The 24,490-nt window shown below is 47.8% G+C and overlaps 1 protein-coding gene and 3 pseudogenes across 2 annotated transcripts in view, besides 2 other annotated features; 3 read left to right on the top strand and 1 right to left on the bottom strand.

Annotated features, from left to right (window-relative positions):
- The window catches only part of GUSBP17 (GUSB pseudogene 17), a 39,070-nt pseudogene extending 37,307 nt beyond the window's left edge, over nt 1-1,763 (top strand). Inside the window, exon 4 of the transcript NR_033968.1 lies at nt 1,533-1,763. The product of NR_033968.1 is annotated as a GUSB pseudogene 17 (transcript). The remainder of the gene's footprint in view (nt 1-1,532) is intronic.
- Nucleotides 1,764-3,804: 2,041 nt separating this feature from the next.
- Nucleotides 3,805-11,310, top strand: LOC124900994 (uncharacterized). Its single transcript, XM_047417973.1, has one exon. It carries the CDS (start codon nt 5,605-5,607, stop codon nt 6,187-6,189), a length of 585 nt encoding a protein of 194 aa, XP_047273929.1. The 5' UTR covers nt 3,805-5,604; the 3' UTR covers nt 6,190-11,310.
- On the bottom strand, nt 5,937-6,626 carry LOC728452 (POM121 membrane glycoprotein (rat) pseudogene; annotated as a pseudogene).
- GUSBP9 (GUSB pseudogene 9) lies at nt 13,859-24,343 on the top strand (annotated as a pseudogene).
- Nucleotides 15,204-15,704: an enhancer, noted in NCBI's record as "H3K27ac hESC enhancer chr5:70502112-70502612 (GRCh37/hg19 assembly coordinates)". NCBI's record gives its function as "activates a minimal SCP1, AML or CMV promoter by ChIP-STARR-seq in naive H9 embryonic stem cells {active_cell/tissue: H9 hESC(naive)}" and the evidence as "EXISTENCE:reporter gene assay evidence [ECO:0000049][PMID:30033119]".
- Nucleotides 17,526-18,027: an enhancer, noted in NCBI's record as "H3K27ac hESC enhancer chr5:70499789-70500290 (GRCh37/hg19 assembly coordinates)". NCBI's record gives its function as "activates a minimal SCP1, AML or CMV promoter by ChIP-STARR-seq in primed H9 embryonic stem cells {active_cell/tissue: H9 hESC(primed)}" and the evidence as "EXISTENCE:reporter gene assay evidence [ECO:0000049][PMID:30033119]".

The following is a 24,490-nucleotide window of genomic DNA, read 5'->3' as shown; positions in this document are numbered from 1 at the left end:
TACTCTCCAGGCAGTGTGGCTTTCTGAATCCAAGGAGGCTGGGCATAGGGAGATGGGATTTGTTTGCCCGGTTTGGACTCAGCATTTTTTGTACTCGATTTAATAGACTCATAAAATGTCAAAGGTTTAAGTGAGCTTAGAGTTCATCTGGCCCAAACCTGGCTGATCAGAATCTCCAGGGGAAGTTTTATTGAAATGCCAGATCTCTGCGTTCTGAGATCCTGATTTAGTAACTCCAGGGTTGGAACCTGAGTTTTTTGTTTTTTTGTGTGTGTGTGTGAAGGCAAGGTCTTACTCTGTTGCTCTGGCTGGAGTGCAGTGGTGTGATCACAGCTCACTGCAGCCTTGAATTCCTGGGCCTAAGCAACCCTCTTGCCTCAGCCTTCCAAGTAGCTGGGACTCCGGGGGTACACCACTGTGCCCGGCTAATTTTAAATGTTTTTGTAGAGATGGGATCTCACTATGTTGCCCAGGCCAGTCTCAAACTCTTGAGCTCAAGTGATCCTCCTGCCTTAGCCTCCTAAAGTGCTGGGATTACAGGCATGAGCCACCGTGCCTGGCTGATACTAGCATTCTTTTTTATTTTTTATTATTTTTTTAAGATAGAGTCTTGCTCTGTTGCCCAGGCTGGAGTGCAGTGGCACAGTCTCAGCTCAGTGCAACCTCCGCCTCCCAGGTTCAAGCAATTCTCCTGCCTCAGCCTCCCAAGTAGCTGGGATAACAGGCACATGCCACCACGCCTGCGCTTGATCGTGGGAGGCAGAGGTTGCATTATTGTGCCACTCCATTCTAGCCTGGGCAACAGAGCGAGACTCTGTCTTCCAAACAAAGCGGAAAAAGATTATCTGCGAGAATGACTGCATTGGCCCCTTGGGTGGGAGGGCTTCTCCAGGGCAAGGTGAGGGGATGCCCAGTGCTGGGAGTGCTGCCTGGAGAGGAGTCAGTTCCAGTGGCGGGGGCCCTGGGTTTTGGCTGAGGACTGCGTGTTGGCAGCTGCTCTGCCTCTCACAGCCCTTCCCAGCTGCACACGTCGTGAGCGTCAGTGTGCAATCACAGGCCTGCCTCCTTTGGGCCACTTTGTGACCATGTTTTTTGCTTGTGGGGCAGGGTAATTTCAGGATCTAAATTGGTGCAGTTGGATGTTCTCAGCCCCGAGAGGCAGCTCTTCCCGTTGTAGGCTTTTTGTTTTGTTTTGTAGAAATGGAGTCCTACGACGTTGCCCAGGCTGGTCTCAAACTCCTGGGCTCAAGTGATCCTCCCACCTTGGCCTCCCAATGTGCTGGGATTACAGGCATGAGCCACTGTGCCGTGCTGATTTTCTTGATACTATTTTTTGTAGAGCTGGGGTCTTGCTGTGTTGCCCAGGCTGGTCTCGAACTCCTGGCCACAAGCCACCCTCCTGCCTCAGCCTCCCAGAGTGCTGGGATTACATCCCCTTCTTACCTTCTCTGTCAGAGGAGCCCCCACAGCATGTGAGTACTGAGTCATGCGGTCTTGTGGTTGCTGAACGGGCTCTGCTGCTCTGGTCCTAGGCTCTGTATGTGGATGTGATCCGTGTGAACAGCTACTACTCTTGGTATCGCAACTACGGGCACCTGGAGTTGATTCGGCTGCAGCTGGCCGCCCAGTTTGAGAATTGGTGTAAGACATCACAATCCCATTATTCAGAGCGCGTATGGAGTGGAAACGCTTGTAGGGCTTCACCAGGTAAGCGGTGTTGAACTTTCTGCTTGTGTATTCTCTCTGGGCAGAGATGCCACTTGCCTCCCCCACCATGCCATCTCTGAAGAATATTACAGACCATTTTGGAGCATGGTGAATAAGAAATTTTCACCTTAGGAGTTCAGTTGAATAGTCATTTTTATATTTGTGACTGCAAGTCACTCTTAGGGGCTGTACTTCCTTAGTACTGGTAGCATTATTATCCAATGGACTTTTATAGCTTTCATTAGGTTTTCTTTTGTTTTTGTTCTTTAAAGAACGTTTTACTTATCTTAGTATTTCATTTTTCATCTATATTATGAGGCAGTAAGAGTCTTCTGTTTTTCCAAAGTGGAGACTGCTTTATATTTATTTCGTATTGTCTACAGCTGTAGTGTTCAATACATTAGCCACTAGCCACATGTGGTTATTTAAATAAGATAAAATAAAAATTGGCCGGGCGTGGTGGCTCACGCCGGTAATCCCAGCACTTTGGGAGGCCGAGGCGGGCAGATCATTAGGTCAGGAGATCGAGACCATCCTTACTAAGACGGTGAACCCCCATCTCTATTAAAAATACAAAAAATTAGCCGGGCGTGGTGGCGGGCGCCTGCAGTCCCAGCTACTCAGGAGGCTGAGGCAGGAGAATGGCGTGAACCTGGGAGGCAGAGTTTGCAGTGAGCCGAGATGGCGCCACTGCACTCCAGCCTGGGGGACAGAGCGAGACTCCATCTCAAGAAAAAAAAGAAAATTAAAAATTAAGTTCTTTAGTTGCACTAGCCATATTTCAAATACTTGATGGATACATGTGGCTAGTGGCTAACATAAGGGATAGCACAGATATAAAACATTTGCTCGTCATATAAAGTTCTATTGGATAGTGCTGGTCTGTAGCTTATAGGATGGTATCTTAGTCTGCTTCAGCTGCTAAAACAGAATACCATAAATTAGGTAGCTTAAACAGTAGATATTTTGACCAGGCGTGGTGGCTTATGCCTGTATTCCTAACACTTTGGGAGGCCGAGGCAGGTGGATAACTTGAGCTCAGGAGTTTGAGACTAGCCTGGGCAGCATGGCAAAACCTTGTCTCTACGAAAATTAGCTGGGCGTGGTGGTGCACGCCTGTAGTCTGAGCTACTTGGGAGGCTGAGGTGGGAGAATTGCTTGAACCTGGGAGGCGGAGGTTGCAGTGAGCCATGATCGCACCACTGTACTCCAGCCTGGATGACAGAATGAGACTCTGTCTCAAAAAAAACAAAAACAAACAAACAAAAAAAAACAGATATTTCTCACAGTTCTGCAGACTGGAAGTGCAAGATCAAAGTGTTGGCAAATTACGTTTCTTAAAGAGGGCCTGCTTCCTAGATTGGAAATGGCCATCTTCTCTCGGTATCCTCACATGGTAGGGAGAAAAGCAGCTCTAGTGTCTCTTCTTATAAAGGAAGTAATGCCACCATAGGGGCTCTATTCTCATGACCTCATCTAAACCTAATTCTCTCCTAAAGGCCACGCCTCCCAGTATCCTCACCTTGGGGGTTAGGGCTTTATCATATGAATTTTTTTTTTTTTTTTTTTTTTTTTGAGACAGAGTCTCGCTCTGTCTGTCACCCAGGCTGGAGTGCAGTGGCACAATCTCGGCTCTCTACAAGCTCCGCCTCCTGGGTTCACGCCATTCTCCTGCGTCAGCCTCCTCAGTAGCTGGGACTAAGGCGCCCGCCACTGCGCCCGGCTAATTTTTTGTATTTTCAGTAGAGACGGGGTTTTACCATGTTAGCCAGGATGATCTCGATCTCCTGACCTCATGATCCACCCGCCTCGGCCTCCCAAAGTGCTGGGATTACAGGCATGAGCCACCGCGCCGGGCCTATCATATGAATTTTGAGGGAACACAAACATGCAGTCTGTAGCAGATGGTAATAGGCTGACATATTACACTTGTTGATGTAAATCTGATAGGTTTCTTTCTCTCCAAGGACAGCTTTTTAAATATTTAACAGTATCAATAATTTTTCAGGTTCTGTGAGAATTTTATAATTTATAATTTGCAGACTTAATGTATAATCTATTTTGTCCTAACAATTACAAATATATTTTTTATTTCAGATTGTATATATTCCTACCAGATGGAGATAATTACAGCTTTAAAAATTTTTATTTTTTCATTTTATTTCACACATTGACATTAAATTTTTATGGACACATAATAACTGTACATATATATGGGGTAGAATGTGATGTTTTAATACATGTACTCAATGTGTAATGATCAAATCAGGGTAATTTGCATAATGATTTTTCTGTAGGGAGAAAATTCAAAATCTACTCTTCTGGCTATTTTCAAATATATAATATGTTATTGTTAACTATACTCATCCTACTATGCAATAGGACACCAGAACTTATTCCTGGGTTCTACATCCGTTAAGGCAACCAAGGATTGGAAATATTGGAAAAAAAAATTGCGTCTGTACTGAACATGTACAGACTTTTTTCTTGTCCTTATTCCTTACACAATATAGTACAATAACTATTTGCATGACATTTACATCGGATATTATGAGTGATCTAGAGTTGATATGAAGTATATGGGAGGATGTGCAAAGGTGATGTGCAAATACTATGTCATTTTATATCAGGGACTTGAGTATCCTTTGTTACCCTCAGGAGATCCTGAAACCAGTCCCCCATGGATACTGAGGGCTGACTGTATAGTCCTATCCTCACGGAACTTTCATTCTAATGGGGGAAGACTGACTATAAACAAAATATATGTAATAGGTGGTGGTAAGTACCGTGGAGAAGTAACAAACGGGGCAAAGTGAGTTATACAGCTCCATTCTTAGAAACCTTGGAGTACTTTTCTTAGTTTATACTCGTGGTGGTTTCCTTTTGTCTCCTTTATTACATGGGACTCTGACATGTGCCCATAGCTAGGGTGACAGTAGGATCTACCCGATAGTAGGGTGGCAGTAGGATCTACCCAAAAAGCGTCCTGCTGATACAGGACCAAAGCATCCTGTTGTTCTCGAGCCTATAAAAAGAGCTAATGGTCTTGCTTCTCTTAACTGTGGCCTCCTACACTGTGTTTTGGATGATTGGTGATGTCTTGGATATTCTGTTTCTTTGGAACTTTGAATATACAACACTTTACTAGGGAATTAGCAATGGAAGCAGAGCAAAGATGTACAGAGGAAACAATGCGTAACTCTGATGGAATTGAAGTCATGAGGCAGCAGAGAGCTTAAATTACAGCTTTAAAAATTTTTATTTTTTAGAGGGAATTTACTTGGGAGTAACAGCAGTAATAGTTAACGGAGCCAGAATGCTTGAGTCATATAATTGCAAAGCAGAGTTGGGAGCAACAGATGCTAAAGAGTAGTTGCTGTAGTTCCTCTTTGGGTCGTAGGAGCAGTTGTCATATTACTATATAGCTACTGCATGAAGAAGAGTTCTTAGTGAGGCCTGGGTGAACAGCTCTTCTTAGTATTCTGTGTGACCCCATTTGACCTTTTAACAAATCCCTAAGTAAATAAATAGCCCCTCAGGAAAACTAAGTTTTTCTCTGCTGTTTTTTTGCTTGAGAGAGCTATAACTGTAATAGACTTATATTTCTGAACATTTTAGTGCTTGCCAATATTTGGTAATATTTATGTTTCCTATATTTGTAATGAACATTCTTCTTCCGGTACATTTTTTGTTAAATTATTGTTTGATGGATAAAAGTTCACCTTTTATTGTATAAAATTGACTGAGATTAATTTATACACATTGACAATGGGTAAATAGAATTTTTCAGATTATTAAAAGCTGAAGGATGCCCACGTAAGCAAAAAAAAAAAAGAAAAAACCAACAAAAATAAACCCAAACCCCTCAAACAATTTCGAACACGAAACATTCTTCTGATGCCGGCATCCCTGCTTGCAGGTGTGAAGGGGGCAGGAATCAGCGAGGTGTCCTGGGCTGAGTCCCCGGAGTGGGAAGAGGTGGCAGGAAGGGGATCTGAGGAGGAGAACAGGGGTCCTGGTGGTCTGTGCTTCTTCCCAGACACGGGAGCTGTAGAGGAGACCTCTGCAGCAGATGCTAGGGGGGCCAGTAGGCCCAGGCAGTCTTGGGACTTGGGTCTGTCCTGCTGTGCATCCATAGTGGGTGCTTTAGAAACGGGAGGCCCACCCGAAGCCCCTGTTGCAAGTGAGGACAAAGTGTGGGAAGGCCGTGAGGGTCTGCAGTCCGGGATGGCCTTGTCCTCAACGTGCAGTGCACTGTTGATGCGCTGGAATGCCGTCTCTTTTTCCAGGTGCAGGTCTTCAGCCGTGACCCGGTACCCCAGCTCTAAGGGAGGTGGCAGCATCAAAGGCTCCCCTCGCCTGCGTGGCAGCAGGGGAATCTTGCGTCTACGGGGCCTAGAGTCCTGGGATCTGGGGGAGCCACCCGTTGGGGCGATTGTCTGCCCTGGTGCTGTATCTGCCCCCTTTTCACACCGTGTGTGACCCGAAGAGACAGCCTGAGGCCTGTCCTCACTCACTGTCTTTGAGTAACTGAGGGTCAGCTGGCAGCGGGATGAGGCTGGCCCCCTCCTCTGCTTTAGCCCCGGCAAGCCTCCCGTGGAGCTGTAGGAGCTGGAGATGGCATTTCGTTTGGTGCTCGAGCTCGTCCAGGATGTCTGGGATGTGTGGTTATATCTGATTTCTGAGCTCTGGGCATGGAGGTCTGTCTGCAGAGGCCCGGGCCTGGGCACAAAGGGAGAGGGGCCTCCATTGTCCCGCAGGGGCCAAAATGCAGACCGTGCATCCCCGGTGACCTCGGGGACCGTTCTCTGATCATCAGGATTTTCTTGGACTCTGGGGTCCTTGTCCTGCTCAGGCATCCCTGCCCCGCTCTCCTTGAGGGCCCTCAACACTATCTTCCCTGGACACAAGTCTGGGGACAGCCGGGTGTTGTGGACCCCAAAGGGGTGACTACCTGCTCCTGGGCCCCACAGAGTCCTTGTGCTCAGTGTAGTGGCTGAGCTGGGGGATGCCCTGGAACTCGGAGCACACAGCACTGGCTTACTGTGGTACCTGTGCAGTGAAATTGAAGACAGAATCACCAGGATGGAACACAGGTCTTGCAGGATCACTTGAAACCTTCTTAGAGTTGTCTTGACACCAGTGATGTCGAGTGTCCGGGTGTTTGTAGGATGGCCTGCCACTCAGTCCAGGGGCAGGAGCAACGGGGAGATCCCACAAGCAAAGTGAACTGGGGGATGGGCTGAAGGGGCTCCAGGCAACTGAGCCCTACTCGCAGGTCCTCGGCCTTGGCCCAAACAGGAATGAGGGGCACAGAGTGCCCGGGTAACCGCTCCTGGGAGCAGTGGGGAACTGTCGGATACTTGAACTCTCAAGAGCTGGGCTCTGAGCGTCCTCGTCCAGCTGCCAACTTGGCCAAAGGCTAAGCCAGCAGATTGTTCTGTTGCCGGGCAACGCGACTTCTAAACCTGAGGGAGTGGGCATGTGAGCACATAATGGCACCAGTGACAGAGCGACCATAATGGATGAATAAGCGCAGCCAGGTACCCGCGCAAGGCACCTGCTGGCAATGGCAGGAGGCGGACGTGGGGGGTCGTGCAGTAGGTACTGGAGGGAGAGACGTGGGCACAAAGGTCGCGGGAGGAACAGGTGCCCACAATGGCTGCATATTTGCCCGTGGATCACTGAAGATTCCTGCTCTCCTGCTGAGGTGGAGACTGCAGTGAGCTGAGATCGCACCATTGCACTCCAGCCTGGGCAACGAGTGCAAAACTCAGTCTCCAGATAAAAAAAAGAAAAAGAAAAAAAAGAGGCCGGGTGTGGTGGCTTATGCCTATGATCCTAGCACTTTGGGAGGTCGGGGTGGACGGATCACGAGATCAGGAGTTGGAGGCCAGCCTGGCCAACATAGTGAAAGCCCGTCTCTAGTAAAAATACAAAATTTAGTCAGACATGGTGGGCAGGAGAGAGCATGTGCAGGGGAACATCCATTTATAAAACCATCAGACCTCATGAGACTTATTCACTACCATGAGAACAGCATGGGGGAAACTGCCTCCATGATTCAGTTATCTCCACCTGGCCCCACCCTTGACACATGGGAATTGTTACAATTCAAGATGAGATTTGGGTGCGGACAGAGCCAAACCATATAATTCTTCCCCGGCCCCTCCCAAATCTCATGTCCTCATATTTCAAAAGCAATCATGCCTTCCCCTAAGTCCCCCAAACTCTTATTTCAGCATTAACTCAAAATTCCATAGTCCAAAGTCTCATCTGAGACAAGGCAAGTCCCTTCCACCTATGAGCCTGTAAAATCAAAAGCAAGTTAGTTATTTTCTAGATACACAGGGATACAGGCATTGGGTAAATACACTCGTTTCAAATGGGAGAAATTGGCCAAAGCGAAAGAGCTACAGGCCCCATGCAAGTCCAAAACCCAGCAGGCAAATCTTAAAGCTCCAAAATGACCTCCTTTGACTCCATGTGTCACATCTAGGTGATGCAAGAAGTGGGTTCCCAGGGTCTTGGGCAGCCCCGCCCCTGTGGCTTTGCAGGGTACAGCCCCCCTTCTGGCTGCATTGAGTGTCTGCAGCTTTTCCAGGCACACAGTGCAAGCTGTCAGTGGATCTACCATTCTGGGGTCTGGAGGATGGTGGCCCTTTTCTCACAGCTCTGCTTGGCAGTACCCCAGTGGGGACTCTGTGTGGAAGCTCCAACCCCATATTTCCCTTTGACACTGCCCTAGCAGAGGTTATCCATGAGGGCCCCCCCTCCCCTCCCCTCCCCCCCACAGCAAACTTTTGCCTGGATTTCCAGGCATTTTCATACATCTTCTGAAATGTAGGCGGAGGTTCATGAACGTTAATTCTTGACTTCGGTGCATCTGCAGGCTTAACACCACCTAGAACCTGAAAGGCTTGGAACTTGCACCCTCTGAAGCCATGGCCTGAGGTGTACCTTGGCCCCTTTTACCTATGGCAGGAGCAGCTGGGATGCAGGGCCCCAAGTTCCTAGGCTGCACACAGCAGGGGGTTCTGGACCCACAAAACCATTTTTCCTTCTAAGCCTCCTGGCCTGTGATGGGAGGGTCTGCTGTGAGGGTCTCTAACATGCCCTGGAGACATTTGCCCCATTGTCTTGGTGATTAACATTTGGCTCCTCATTACTTATGCAAATTTCTACAACCCAGTCTCCTGAGAAAATAGATTTTTCTTTTCTGTTGCATCATCAGGCTACAAATTTTCTGAACTTTTATGCTCTGCTTCTTCTCGAATGCTTTGCTGCTTAGAAATTTCTTGTGTCAGATACCTTAAATCATCTCTCTCAAGTTCAAAGTTCCACAGATCTGTAGGGAACTCTAGAAAAAAATTCTTATTTTCCCTCTTTCCCGCCTATCTTATGCCCGTTTCTAATACAGGTGCACAATGCCTGCAGTGTCTTTGCATAGTAAGAGTGACTTTACTCCATTTCCCAACAAATTCCTCATCTGCCTCTGAGACCACCTCCGCCTGGACCTTGTTGTCCATATCACTATTAACATTTTGGTCAAAGCCATTCAACAAGTCTCTAGGAAGTTCCAAACTTTCCCACATTTTCCTATCCTCTTCTGAGCCTTCCAAACTGTTCCAGCCTCTCCCTGTTACCCATTTCCAAAGTTGCTTCCACATTTTCGGGTATCTTTACAGCAGCACCCCACTCTACTGGTATCAACTTATTGTATTAGTCTGTTCTCACACTGCAAATAAAGACATACCTGAGACTGGGTAATTTATAAAGGAAAGAGGTTGAATTGACTCACAGTTCTGCATGGCTGGGGAGGCCTCACAGTCATGGTGGAAGGCAAGGAGGTGCAAAAGCATGTCTCACATAGTGGCAGGCAGGAGAGAGCATGTGCAGGGGAGCTCCCATTTATAAAACCATCAGATCTCATGAGACTTAGTCACTACCGCGAGAACAGTATGGGGGGAACCATCCCCATGATTCAGTTATCTGCACCCGGCCCCACCCTTGACACGTGGGAATTATTACAATGCAAGGTGAGATTTGGGTGGGGACCCATCCAAACTATGTCAGTATGTTTTGACTTCTTGCTTGATTGCTAGGTTGCATAGAGGACAAACATGGAAATTAATGAAGTACCTTAATATCTGGCTTCAGATCTTAGACAGGATCAGAGGGCCAGCTCAAATTTGCAAGGAGGGGAGGTAGATCCCACCATTTTATGGGTGAATGGCAAAATCAAACAGAAATTATGTGGGATGGGAGATACTGATGCAGCCATCTTTGGAAACATTCTACTTAGCTAATTTTATGCTAGGCTTTAGGTCAAGAAGGAGAGAGAGAGCTGACATGCTGTGGTACACACTTATAGTCCCAGCGACTTGGAAAGCTGAGGCAGGAGGATTGCTTGATCCCAGGAGTTTGAGGTAGTGTGCGATGATCGTTCTTGTGAATAGCCACTAGCCACCGAACTCCAGCTTGGGCAACATTGAGACACCCTGTCTCTTAATTTAAAAAAAAAAAAAAAAAAAGGAGGAAAGAAAGTGGTCTCAGTTTTTAATGTAAATATTTTTAATGGGATACTGATATTTTAAGATTAATGTATATTGTATATCAGTTAACTGCAGGTCAATAATTATATAAAACTTAAGGTACGAAAAACATTTATTTTTGCTAACATATCTGTGAGTTGACTGTTGTTGGCTTGGTGAGGCTGCAAGCTGCAGATAGAGTCTAGGTATGTTTTCTGTGTGTTTGTTCCCCCTTGGATCAGTGGACTACCTGAGAATGTGTTTCTGTCACAGTGATAGAATCACAAGGAAACTCCAGTTCTGGAAGTACATTTTAAGCCATTGCTTCTCTCATGTCCACTAACATTCAGTCAGCCAAAGCACATACCTTGTCCATGGCTAACATTGATAGTATAGATAAATATACCTGATCTCTAGCAGGAGGAACTGCATTGTCTTGGGGAAAGGTTTTAGATATAGGGAGGGGTGATGAGTTGGGAACAATAATGTAGTCTGCCGCAAACATATTAAAGTGTAACTGGATATGGTTGCTGCAGAATTTTGAACCTTTGTTTTAATTGTGATTTTTACTCTTTCCCCCCTATCTAGTGCCCTTTTGTAATACAGTAATTATCATGATTTTTGTCTGAACTGAAATCTTCTGAGATTAGATTGTCTACGAAAATACAGTCGATCCTCCTTGTTTTCAGCTTTTGTATTTGTGAACTCACCTACTATTTTTTGTAACCCCCAAATCAGTACTCACAGCACTTTCATAGTCATGTGTTTGCGCAGAGTGTCAAAGAATTTGAGTTTGAACAGGATGATATTCTGCCTTCTTTTTCAGCTCTCATACAATAGTCAGGTATCCTTTTTGTGGTCTATTTAATGCCATGCTTTTCCTGTTTTTGTACTGTTTGTTGGTTGTTTTGCCATTTAAATTAACCCCCAAGCATAGTGCTGAAGTGCTGCTTAGCATTCACAAGTCCAAGAAGTCTGTGATGTGTCTTACAGAGAAAATACATGCATTAAATAAACTCCATTCAGGCGTGAGTGCTGTAGTGCCGTTGGCTGTGAGTTCAATGTTAATGAATGAACAATGTATATTATTTATTTATTCTTCATTTAATTAATTATTATTATTTTTTTTTTTGAGATAGAGTCTCACTCTGTTGCTCAGGCTGGAGTGCAGTGGTGCAGTCTTGGCTCACTGCAACCTCTGCCTCCTGGGTTCAAGCGATTCCCCTGCCTTCGCCTCCCAAGTAGCTAAGACTACAGGCATGCGCCACCATGCCTGGCTAATTTTTTTTTTTTTTTTTTGTAGTTTTAGTAGAGACGGGGTTTCACCACGTTGGCCAGGCTGGTCTCGAACTCCAGACCTCAAATGATCTGCCCGCCTTGGCTTCCCAAAGTGCTGGGATTACAGGCGTTAGCCACTGTGCCTGGCCAACAATATATATTAAATAAGCACACATACAACAAAAGTAGGTGTTGGTAAGCTTACAAAAGTGTGACCAGTAGCTTGCTGAAACCTAACTTTTTATTTGTTCATGGAACTTTCTAGACCGTAACTACACTGAATAATGAGAATCTGCTGTAATCTTTTTAGGTGCTGTAGATGAGCCATTGGATTAAATTATTACAGTATGTTTCAGACTGCTGTATGTTGAACCCTAGTGAAATGCCTCTCAAACCTTCATAAGGATCACAATCTCATGTCCTTTTTTTTTGTTATTAAATGCCCAGTATGTGTTAGCGATTTAAACAAAATTCAAATATTTTTTTTTTTTTTTTGAGACAGAGTCTCGCTCTGTCACCTAAGCTGGAGAGTGCAGTGGTATGATCTCGGCTCACTACAACCTCTGCCTCCCGGGTTCAGGCGATTCTCCTGCCTCAGCATCCTGAGTAGCTGGGATTACAGGCACCCGCCACCACGCTGGGCTAATTTTTGTATTTTTAGTAGAGACGGGGTTTCGCCAGGTTGTCCAGGCTGGTCTGGAACTCCTGACCTCATGCGATCTGCCTGCCTTGGCCTCCTGAAGTGCTGGGATTATAGGCGTGAGCCACCATGCCCGGCGTTGACTTCTTAATAATAACCATACTGACTGGTGTGAGATGGTATGCCATTGTGGTTTTGATTTGCATTTCTCTAATGATCAGTGATATTGAGCTTTTTCTCATATGCTTGTTGGCCGCATGTGTGTCTTCTTTTGAAGTGTCTGTTTATGTCCTGTGCCCACTTTCTAATGAGATTTTTTTTTTTCTTGTAAATTTGTTTAAGTTCCTTATCAGTGTTGGACATTAGATCTTTGTCACATGCATTGTTGCAAAAATTTTCTCCCATTCTGTAGGTTGTCTGTTCACTCTGTTGATAGTTTCTTTTGCTGTGCAGAAGCTTCAAGAAGAAAGGAATCCGATTGGTTCTGTGTCTGTCTCTTTTGGTATTCTCAGAATTATGTAGTCATTCATATAGAAAGATGATTAGGAAAATAGGACAAGAATAGCAGAAATCTACATAAAAATGTAGGAAATTAAAATTAGTTACCAGCATACAAAAAGCTTCTGTATGTTATAATTACATACTATAACTCACCCCTCCTTGGCAAATATTCTCTCTCTTTTGACTTCAAAATCATGGCTTATATGTACTTTCTCTATTTCCCAGATGCAAATATAATTAATTGACTTTATTTATCTAGGAAATGTTACTCATATCTTAATTGTAGTCATTGGCTTGAGTGACGGGTTTTGGTAATTCAACTACTATTACTTGAAAGTAGTAGATTTCATAGGATACTGTTATAAAATCTTTTTAACCTCTTTTCTGATTTCAGGAGTAATTAGTAATTGTGGTTTACTGGAAAATTCAATGAATAGGGTGTTAAAGGAAGCAATTCATTAATAATATATGTAATCTATTGGGAGACTGAGGCGGGTGGATCACCTGAGTTCAGGAGTTCGAGACCAGCCTGGCCAACATGGCAAAACTCCGTCTCTACTGAAAATAGAAAAATTCGCCGGGCATGGTGGTGCATTCCTGTATTCCCAGGTACTCGGAAGGCTGAGGCAGGAGAATCACCTGAACTCCAGAGGTGGAGGTTGCAGCGAGTCAGGATCGCAGCACTACACTCCAGCCTGGGTGACAGTGAGACTCCATCTCAAAAAAAAAAAAAAAAAAAAAAAAAAAATTAAAAAATTAAATTAAAAGCGGGCTGGGCGCATTGGTTCAGGGCCGGGCACGGTGGCTCAAGCCTGTAATCCCAGCACTTTGGGAGGCCGAGGCAGGCGGATCACGAGGTCAGGAGATCAAGACCATCCTGGCTAATGTGGTGAAACCCCGTCTCTACTAACAATACAAAAATTAGCTGGATGTGGTGGCAGGTGCCTGTAATCCCAGCTATTCCAGAGGCTGAGGCAGGAGAATCACTTGAACCTGGGAGGCAGAGGTTTCAGTGAGTCCAGATCATGCCACTGCACTCCAGCCTGGGTGACAGAGCGAGATTCTATCTCAAAAAAAAAAAAAAAAAAAGCAACAGAAGCAAATGAGAGTGCCTGGGAGTGGTCATTGTGGGGCCTTCCCGTTTGTGTGACCCAGGTCATGTCCCTCCCTAAGCCCTGGTCTCTCTTGCCTCCTGCAGGGCTGGTGAATTACCAGATCTCCGTCAAGTGCAGTAACCAGTTCAAGTTGGAAGTGTGTCTTTTGAATGCAGAAAACAAAGTCGTGGACAACCAGGCTGGGACCCAGGGCCAGCTGAAGGTGCTGGGTGCCAACCTCTGGTGGCCGTACCTGATGCACGAACACCCCGCCTACCTGTACTCGTGGGAGGTAATGGTGGTTTGGGACTTGCGTAAGGGAGGTCTTTTGCCCCCATCTGGTAGCCCTGGCTTCAGCAGGAGCCCAGGACAGGTGAACGGGCAGGTGTGGTCCTCTGAGCTTTCTGATGTTTCCCACCCTTGGTGGGAGGCCCAGATTTTTTATTTATTTATTTATTTATTTATTTATTTATTTGTTTGTTTGTTTTTGTGATGGTCTCACTCTGTCACCCAGGCTGGAATGCAATGGCCTGATCACAGCTCACTGCAGCTTTGAGCTGCAATCCTCCTACCTTGGCCTCCTGAGTAGCTGGGACTACAGGCACATGCCACCATGCCTGGCTAATTAAAAAAATTTTTTTTGTAGGCCGGGCATGGTGGCTCACACCTGTAATCCCAGCACTTCGGGAGGCTGACGCGGGCGGATCACTTTAGGCCAGGAGTTGGAGACCAGCCTGGCCAACATGGTGAAACCCCGTCTCTACTAAAATATGAAAATTTGCAGGGCATGATGGTGCACGTCTGTAATCCCAGCTACTCGGGAGGCTGAGGCAGGGGAATTGCTTGAACCCAGGAGGCAGGGGCTGCGGTGAATTGAGATCATGCCGCAGCACTCTATCCTGGGTGACAGAGTGAGACTGTCTCAAAAAAAAAAAACTCCTTTTTATAGAGTTGGGGTCTTACTAGGTTGCCCAGGCTGGTCTTGAACTCCTGGACTCAGGTGATCCTCCTGCCTTAGCCTCCCAAAGTGTAGGGATTCCAGGCATGAGCCACCTCGTCTGGTCAAGGAGAAGGCCTGATTTTGAAGGGCAGGTCCCAGGGTCAGCCAGTGAAGGGCAGAGCCTCTGGTTGCTGCTTCTCTGCAGGCCCAGTGGCGACTTCTGGGGTGCATGCACGAGGGGTCTTCCTGCTGTAGGGCAGGCCAGATGGGGCTCAGGCTGTCGGGGCGCTCACACCTGGCGCTTTGGCTGTCGTAGGTGCGGCTGACTGCACAGAAGTCACTGGGGCCTTTGACTTCTACACACTCCCTGTGGGGCTCCGCACTGTGCCCGTCACCGAGAGCCAGTGGGTGAGAGCCAGTTTCATTTGCGGTAGAGGCAGCAGAGGTTGTAGAAATGCTCCTTGAGGCAGATGCCACACCCCAATTTCATGGAGTGATTTGGGCTGAGCCGAGTCTGCAGCAGGCAGAAGGCTCTGAGATGTTGTCCTAGCCTGGGCAAAGGACAATTCAGAGCTCGGGGGAATAGGGGTGTGCTCAGCACGACTGGGTGGACAGGCCGTTTGTTGTGAATCGTACAGGCTTCCAGGAGCGGGTGCCTGAGGCTTCCAGACAGGCTTTGGGAGGTGGCCAGAGGAGATGCCTGTTTCCGGGGCAGGAAATGGAGGGAGGGCCCAGGCTGGAGAGGTTCAGCCAGGCTGTCACAAGGCTTTGAAGCTTCCCATCTGAGAGCCTGGCTATTGGAGAGTGTGGGTTTGGAACTTGAGGCTAGGAGGTTCTATTCTGTCCTGTGCCAGCCACAGCCTTCGGATGGGCAGAGCAATGATGGGGGGAAGATGTAAAAGAAAAGAACTGAGGAAAGAAGAAGAAAACCAGCTTCAACAACGGTCTAGGCCGGATGCGGTGGGTCACGCCTGTAATCCCAGCAGTTTGGGAGGCTGAGGTGGGTGGATCACCCGAGGTCAGGAGTTCGAGACCAGCCTGGTCAACAGGTAGTGAATCCTGTCTCTACTAAAAATACAAAAATTAGCTGGGCATGGTGGTGGACGTCTGTAATCCCAGCTACCAGGTAGGCTGAGGCAGGAGAATCGCCTCAGGTGAACCAGGAGGCAGAGATTGCAATGAGCTGAGATAATGCCACTGCATTCCAGCCTGGGCTACAGAATGAGACTCTGTATCTCAACAAAACAAAACAAAACAAAAACACAACAGTCTGTTCTGTGGAGGCCTTGGGCAGATGCTGGGAGCTCTGAGCACGGACTGGTCCCTCTGTTGGGAGCCTCTTCCCTTCATCCCTCCTGGTTAACTTGACTCAGCATAAAGGCCATTTCTTCTAAGAGCCTGTCCCTGACTCTCCAATCGGGGATGTGTCTGTTGTCTCATAGAGTGCCCAATTCCTGCCACCACTTGTCATTTCCATTCGCAACATTTCTTTCATTGTTTGTTTTTCAGAGTCAGGGTCTCACTCTGTTGCCCAGGCTGGAGTGCAGTGGTGCAATCATAGCTCGTTGCCATCTCGACCTCCTGGGCTTAAGCGATCCTCCCCACTCAGCCTCCCAAATAGCTGGGACCACAGACGTGCGCTGCCTTGCCAGGCTAAATTTTAATATTTTTTTTTCCCCACGAGTCAGAGTCTTGCTCTGTCTCCCAGGCTGGAGAGCAGTGTTGCGATCTTGGCTCACTGCATCCTCTACCTCCTGGGTACAAACAGTTCTCCTGCCTCACCCTCCCGAGTAGCTGGGATTACAGGCTCACGCCACCATGCCCAGCTAGTTTTCTTCTTTATTTTTTGTTGAGATGGGGTTTCACCATGTTGGCCAGGCTGGTCTCGAACTCTTGAGCTCGTGATCCACCTGCCTTGGCCTCCCAAAGTGCTCACAGGCTTGAGCCACCATGCCCGGCCCTAATTTTTAAATTTGTTGTAGAAACAAGGTCTTGCTATGTTGTCCAGGCTGGTCTCAAGCGCCTGGTCTCAAGTAAGCCTCCCAAAGTGCTGGGGTTCTAGGCTTGAGCCACCTCGCCTGGCACTTGCACCGTTTTTCTGTGCATGCATCTCCACTCCCACTGCCCAGGACCTGTGGACTTAGATTTGAGTCATTACTGAGCACCTAGCACCCAGCCTCATGCCTACCTCCCACCTCGCACTACCTGTTTGCTTGATGCATTAATAAATATTCCACCTGAATCCACAGCCCATTCACTCCTGTGTTCAAGAGCTATTTCAGGAAGTGAACCTCATTTCTGGCAGTGTTCAGTCCAGTGACCTCAGCTCTGTGTACCCGGCAGGGTGGCTACGCCTCTGGGGGAGTTGGATTCAGGGGTGGGGGAGAAAGAGTGTTGTTAGAGAGCTCGGTCTAGGACTAGAGGAACGTGCCCTTATGTAAAATACATCTCAAGTTAGGGAAGAAAGCAGCGGCTCTGTGCTTTGTTTTTTTTTTTTTTTTTTTCTTTTCTTTCTTTCTTTTTGTTTGTTTGTTTGTTTGTTTGTTTGTTTGTTTGTTTTGGGGCAGGGTCTTGCTCTGTGGCCCAGGCTGGAGTGCAGTAGTGTGATTTCGGCTCACTGCAACCTCCACCTCCCGGGTTCAAGCAATTCTTGTGCCTCAGCCTCCCGAGTAGCTGGAGTTACAGATGCGTGCCACTAAGCCTGGCTAATTTTTGTATATTTAGTAGAAATGGGGTTTTGCCATGTTGGCCAGGCTGTTCTTGAACCCCTGACCTCAGTGATCTGCCTGCCTCAGCCTCCTGAAGTGCTGGGATTACAGGCGTGAGCCATCGTGCCTGGCCACCAGTTGTGTTCTGGCAGGGGAAGATGGGACAGAGAGGATGGGAGGGTGTCTGAGCCTTTCCCGGACTGACGGAACCTGTGTCTTCTCTCTTTTGTGGACAGGATGGTGATTGCTCACACCAAAGCCTTGGACCCCTCCCAGCCTGTGACCTTTGGGACCAACTCCACCTACGCAGCAGACAAGGGGGTGAGCCTGGGGGTCCCCACCCCATTTCTCCCTGCCTTTGCCTGGGCTTGTCCTGAAGCCTGCTCATGGGAACAGCTGGAAAGAACCATGTGCTGCCAGTCTGAGCTTTTTATTTTGTTTTACTTAGAAAGATAGAGACAGGGTCTTGCCATGTTGCCCAGGCTGGTCTCGAACTCCTGGGCTCAAGTGATCCTCCTGCCTCGGCCTTCCAAAGGGCTGGGGTTACAGGCGTGTGCCACCGCACTCAGCCGCGGCCAGTCTGTTTTCAAAGATGGTCTTTGGGTTAATGACAATTCTCTCTCTGCTTACTCTCCAGGCAGTGTGGCTTTCTGAATCCAAGGAGGCTGGGCATAGGGAGATGGGATTTGTTTGCCCGGTTTGGACTCAGCATTTTTTGTACTCGATTTAATAGACTCATAAAATGTCAAAGGTTTAAGTGAGCTTAGAGTTCATCTGGCCCAAACCTGGCTGATCAGAATCTCCAGGGGAAGTTTTATTGAAATGCCAGATCTCTGCGTTCTGAGATCCTGATTTAGTAACTCCAGGGTTGGAACCTGAGTTTTTTGTTTTTTTGTGTGTGTGTGTGAAGGCAAGGTCTTACTCTGTTGCTCTGGCTGGAGTGCAGTGGTGTGATCACAGCTCACTGCAGCCTTGAATTCCTGGGCCTAAGCAACCCTCTTGCCTCAGCCTTCCAAGTAGCTGGGACTCCGGGGGTACACCACTGTGCCCGGCTAATTTTAAATGTTTTTGTAGAGATGGGATCTCACTATGTTGCCCAGGCCAGTCTCAAACTCTTGAGCTCAAGTGATCCTCCTGCCTTAGCCTCCTAAAGTGCTGGGATTACAGGCATGAGCCACCGTGCCTGGCTGATACTAGCATTCTTTTTTATTTTTTATTATTTTTTTAAGATAGAGTCTTGCTCTGTTGCCCAGGCTGGAGTGCAGTGGCACAGTCTCAGCTCAGTGCAACCTCCGCCTCCCAGGTTCAAGCAATTCTCCTGCCTCAGCCTCCCAAGTAGCTGGGATAACAGGCACATGCCACCACGCCTGCGCTTGATCGTGGGAGGCAGAGGTTGCATTATTGTGCCACTCCATTCTAGCCTGGGCAACAGAGCGAGACTCTGTCTTCCAAACAAAGCGGAAAAAGATTATCTGCGAGAATGACTGCATTGGCCCCTTGGGTGGGAGGGCTTCTCCAGGGCAAGGTGAGGGGATGCCCAGTGCTGGGAGTGCTGCCTGGAGAGGAGTCAGTTCCAGTGGCGGGGGCCCTGGGTTTTGGCTGAGGACTGCGTGTTGGCAGCTGCTCTGCCTCTCACAGCCCTTCCCAGCTGCACACGTCGTGAGCGTCAATGTGCAATCACAGGCCTGCCTCCTTTGGGCCACTTTGTGACCATGTTTTTTGCTTGTGGGGCAGGGTAATTTCAGGATCTAAATTGGTGCAGTTGGATGTTCTCAGCCCCGAGAGGCAGCTCTTCCCGTTCTAGGCTTTTTGTTTTGTTTTGTAGAAATGGAGTCCTACGACGTTGCCCAGGCTGGTCTCAAACTCCTGGGCTCAAGTGATCCTCCCACCTTGGCCTCCCAATGTGCTGGGATTACAGGCATGAGCCACTGTGCCGTGCTGATTTTCTTGATACTATTTTTTGTAGAGCTGGGGTCTTGCTGTGTTGCCCAGGCTGGTCTCGAACTCCTGGCCACAAGCCACCCTCCTGCCTCAGCCTCCCAGAGTGCTGGGATTACATCCCCTTCTTACCTTCTCTGTCAGAGGAGCCCCCACAGCATGTGAGTACTGAGTCATGCGGTCTTGTGGTTGCTGAACGGGCTCTGCTGCTCTGGTCCTAGGCTCTGTATGTGGATGTGATCCGTGTGAACAGCTACTACTCTTGGTATCGCAACTACGGGCACCTGGAGTTGATTCGGCTGCAGCTGGCCGCCCAGTTTGAGAATTGGTGTAAGACATCACAATCCCATTATTCAGAGCGCGTATGGAGTGGAAACGCTTGTAGGGCTTCACCAGGTAAGCGGTGTTGAACTTTCTGCTTGTGTATTCTCTCTGGGCAGAGATGCCACTTGCCTCCCCCACCCTGCCCTGCGCCCACTGCAGTGCTCCCCTTGCTTCAGCTTTGGGCTCACCTCCCGCTACCCTGTCCACGTTCCCTTCTCACCAGCAGGCAGGCCTCTGCCCCACTCGCTTGGTCCTCAAAGGTGGACTCCTTACTGGCCTTGTTTCCAGACAGCCTCCTATCACCCGTGCCCAAGTGGTCTTTCTAAGAAATCCAAATTTTTATGTGTTTTTGAGACCGCCTCTCTCTGTGTCACCCAAGCTGGAGTGCGGTGGTGCGATCACTGCTCACTGCAGCCTTAACCTCCTGGGCCCAAGCGATCTTCCCACCTCAGCCTCCTGAGTATCTGGGACCATAGGCACAGGCCACCATGCCTGGCTAATTTTTTTACTTTTGTAGAGATGGGGCCTTGTTGTGTTCCCCGGGCTGGTCTTGAATTCCTGGGATCAAGTGACCCTCCTGCCTCAGGCTCACAAAGCGCTGGGATTTACAGGTGTGAGCCACTGTGCCCGGCCACAAATCAAAATTTTTGAGTCCTGTCATTGGCTCCCCCAGGCCCATAGGACAAAGTCCTAACCCCTAGTCAGGACACTCAGTGTCCTCTGCTCTCTCCTGGGTTTTCATCCTCTTCTCTTCTCACTCCTGGCCACTGATCTGTTTCCACTGCCCTCATTTGCTCTCCTGCTCTTGCTTGAGCTATTCTTTCTGCCTGGAATGCCCAAGTTGGCACCATAATCACCAACTAAAAGATCCTTTTCTTTTTATTTTTTTAGAGATAGGGTCTTGCTATGTTGCCCAGGCTGGTCTCAAACTCCTGGACTCAATTGATCTTTTTGCCTTGGCCTCCCAAAGTTCTGGGATTAACAGGTGTGATCCACTGTGCTAGCCTTTTTTTATTTTTTATTTTTTTCCTGACAGGGTCTTGTTCTGTTGCCCAGGCTGGAGTGTGGTGGTGTCATCATAGCTCACTGCAGCCTCGAACTCCTGGGCTGAAGCAATTCCCCTGCCTCAGCCTCCTGAGTAGCTGGGACTACAGGCGTGCACCACCATGTGCAGCCTAGTTTTAAAATATTTTGTAGAGATGCAGTCTCGCTATCAGGCTGGTCTTCACCTCCTGTCTTGGACTCCCAAAGTACTGGGAATACAGGCATGAGTCACGACACGTGGCTGAAAAGATTCCTATTTGGCATCTGAGTCTCCTCATAGCTGTCCCCTCTGTGGGGAGGTTTACCCTGCCTGCCCCAGGCGGAGGGAACCTTCCCCGTGCTCTGCCCTGTTGCAGCCGGAACCTGGCTCCCCCAACATTCTCGCCAGGCACCGTTGTTATTTCTTTGGCTCTCTCTTTGATCGGACTGTGGGCTCAGGAGACAGGAGTCCTATTTATTATTGTTTCCCAGGTACTCTGCAATAGCTGACACAGTACATGCTAAATAATACCTATTGAGGGCATGGGTGAGATCTTAGAGCCATGTTTAATCACTCACTTTGTCTTTTTTTTTTTTTGAGATGGAGTCTCACTCTGTCACCCAGGCTGAAGTGCAATGGTGTGATCTCAGCTCACTGCAACCTCCACTTCCTAGGCTCAAGCGATTGTCCTGCCTCAACCTCCCAAGCAGCTGGGATTACAGGCACCTGCCACCATGCCCAGCTAATTTTTGTATTTTTGTAGAGGTGGGGTTTTGCCATGTTGGCCAGGCTGGTCTTGAGCTCCTGACGTCAAGTGATTTGCCTGCTTCCGCGTCCCAAAATCCTGGGATTACAGGCCTGAGCCACCATGCCTGGCCTGTCCTCATTTGTTTATCCATCTCATTTTTTGTCCTTCTCACCAAAGATATGTTGCTTTGTCTTGTGGGGTTTTTTTCATGTGGATTCCTGAACCCCATCCAGCCCCTTGTCCCCTCCCCAGCCAGCTCACACTCTTTTGCACAGCTCCTGGGACTCCCGTTGACACACAGGGAACAGCCACCCACAATGGACTGCACTGTTCTGTTTGCACCCTTAAATTTATCGTGCTTACAGAATGACACTTCTGCAAACTAGTCAAGTAGGGGGAAGTGATTTGTGGATATGCACCCTTGTTCATTCTCTTTGAAAAGGTAACCAGCTCTGAATTCTTTCTCCTTTTAGGAGGAGTTTCACTTGTCGCCCAGGCTGGAGTGTAGTGGTGCAATCTTGACTCACTGCTACCTCCGCCTCCCAGGTTCAAGCAATTCTCCTGCACCAGCCTCCCAAGTAGCTTGGATTACAGGCATGCACCACCATGCTCACCTAATTTTTTTTTTTTTTTTTTTTTTTAGTAGAGATGAGGTTTCACCACGTTGGTCAGGCTGGTCTTGAACTTTTGACCTCAAGCGATCCACCTGCCTTGGCCTCCCAAAGTGCTGGAATTACAGGCATGAGCCACCATACCCAGCCCCAGTTCTGAATTCTTAAGAAACTCGAGAGGGTCTAGGTGAGCATTGATAGAACCTCTGCAGTGCTGGGTGTGCTGGCTCACACCTGGAATGCTAGCCCTTTGGGAGACCGAGGTCAGAGGATCTCTTGAGCCCAGGAGTTTGAGACCAGTCTGCACAACATGGACCCCATCTCTACAAAATATTTAAGATGAGTTGTGGCTGGGTGCAGTGGCTGACGCCTGTAATCCCAGCACTTTGGGAGGCTGAGGTGGGTGGATCACGAGGCCAAGAGTTCAAGTCCAGCCTGACCAAGATGGTGAAACCCCGTCTCTACTAAGAAAACACAGAAATTAGCTGGGTGTGGTGGCATGCACCTGTAATCCCAGCTACTCAGGAGGCTAAAGCAGGAGAATCGCTTGAACTGGGGAGGTGGAGGTTGCAGTGAGCCGAGATTGTGCCACTGCACTCCAGCCTGGGCGACAGAGCAAGAGTCCGTCTCAAAAAAAAAAAAAAAAAATAGTTGGGTATGGTCGTGCTTGCCTCTAGTCCCAGCTACTTGGGAGGCTGAGGTAGGAGGACTGTTTGAGCCCAGTAGGTCAAGGCTGCAGTCCGCCATAATTGCACCACTGTACTCCCACCTGGGTGACAGAGTGAGACCTTGTTTCAAAAAAGAACCTTTGCAATGATGGAAATGCCCCATGTCTGCACTGTCTGAAATGGTAGCCACTAGCTACATGTGGCTATTGAGGTCTTGATATATGACTAGGATAACTGAATTTATCTGGTTTAATTAAAAAAAATTTTTTTTTGAGACAGCCTTACTCTGTTGCCCAGGCTGGAGTGCAGTGGCGTAATCACAGCTCACTGCTCAACCTCCTGGGCTCAAGTGATCCTTCCTCCTCGGCCCCCCAAGTAGCTGGAGCCACAGTCATGCGCCACTACACCTAGCGAATATTTAGCCTTTTTATAGAGACTGGGTTTTACTGTGTTGCCTAGGCTGATCTTGAACTCCTGAGCTCAAGTGATCCTCCTGCCTCGACCTCCCAAAGTGCTGGGATTACAGACCTGAGCTACCATGCCCAGCCTGGTTTAGTTTAATTTCATTTTACATTCATTCATTCATTCATGAGATAGGGTCTTGTTCTGTCACCCAGGCTGGAGTGTAGTGGTGCAAACCACAGCTTTGACCTCCGGGACTGAAGCAGTCCTCCCACCTCAGCCTCCCAAGTAGCTGGGACCACAGGTGTGTGCCTCCATGCTTGGCTAACTTTTGTACTTTTTGTAGGCTAGTCTTGAACTCCTAGGCTCAAGCAGTCCTCCCACCTCGGTCTCCCAAAGTGCTTGGATGACAGACATGAGCCAGCGCGCCTGACCTAAAGACATATTTTTCCTTCTAGTGTAGTTCAGCCTTAAGACTGTATCAGCAGACAGAGACGGAAAAGTAAGAAAAATTGAGTATCAGGTTATATTTATAAATAAAGCAGTTGCTAATTGATGGTTTTTTTTTAAACCTCCTTTTTAATTCTGGGTTACATCATTCCCTGGCTGTCGTTTCTTTTTTTGTATTTTTTTTTATTATTATTATACTTTAAGTTTTAGCGTACATGTGCACATTGTGCAGGTTAGTTACATACGTATACATGTGCCATGCTGGTGTGCTGCACCCACTAACTCGTCATCTAGCATTAGGTATATCTCCCAATGCTATCCCTCCCCCCTCCCCCCACCCCACAACAGTCCCCAGAGTGTGATGTTCCCCTTCCTGTGTCTATGTGATCTCATCGTTCAATTCCCACCTATGAGTGAGAATATGCGGTGTTTGTTTTTTTGTTCTTGCGATAGTTTACTGAGAATGATGATTTCCAATTTCTCCCTGGCTGTCTTTACCCTAGCATCAGTGAGTCCTGCAGTCCCTACAGCCCCCAGTGAGGACAGATATTTTGGTCACCATCAAGTGGATCTTTATTTTTATCTAACATTTACAATTCTGCCAGTTCTTACTCTTAATTCTCTTTGCCTTGAATCCCAGGATCCACCTCTGATGTTCAGTGAAGAGGACCAGAAAAGTCTGCTAGAGCAGTACCATCTGGGTCTGGATCAAAAACGCAGAAAATACGTGGTTGGAGAGCTCATCTGGAATTTTGCCGATTTCATGACTAACCAGTGTAAGTGGCAGTTTAGCGCATGGGATAATGTACCCGTCCTCATTTTTTCAGGTTGCCTTGCCCATTCTGGACATTTTGGCTGTAAGAATATTGGAAACAAAGGGGGGAACCTGGTTTAATCCATGTAGGTTGTGTTGATAATTTCCT

This window comes from Homo sapiens, chromosome 5, assembly GCF_000001405.40.
Source record: "Homo sapiens chromosome 5, GRCh38.p14 Primary Assembly".
Taxonomy (NCBI): Eukaryota; Metazoa; Chordata; class Mammalia; order Primates; family Hominidae; genus Homo; species Homo sapiens.
The sequence above is the reverse complement of the archived record's forward strand: the minus strand, read 5'-3'. Positions and strand labels throughout refer to the sequence as shown.

Coding starts and splice junctions, on each gene's coding strand:
- LOC124900994 (XM_047417973.1), top strand. CDS start 5,605: ATGCCGGCATCCCTGCTTGCAGGTGTGAAGGGGGCAGGAATCAGCGAG.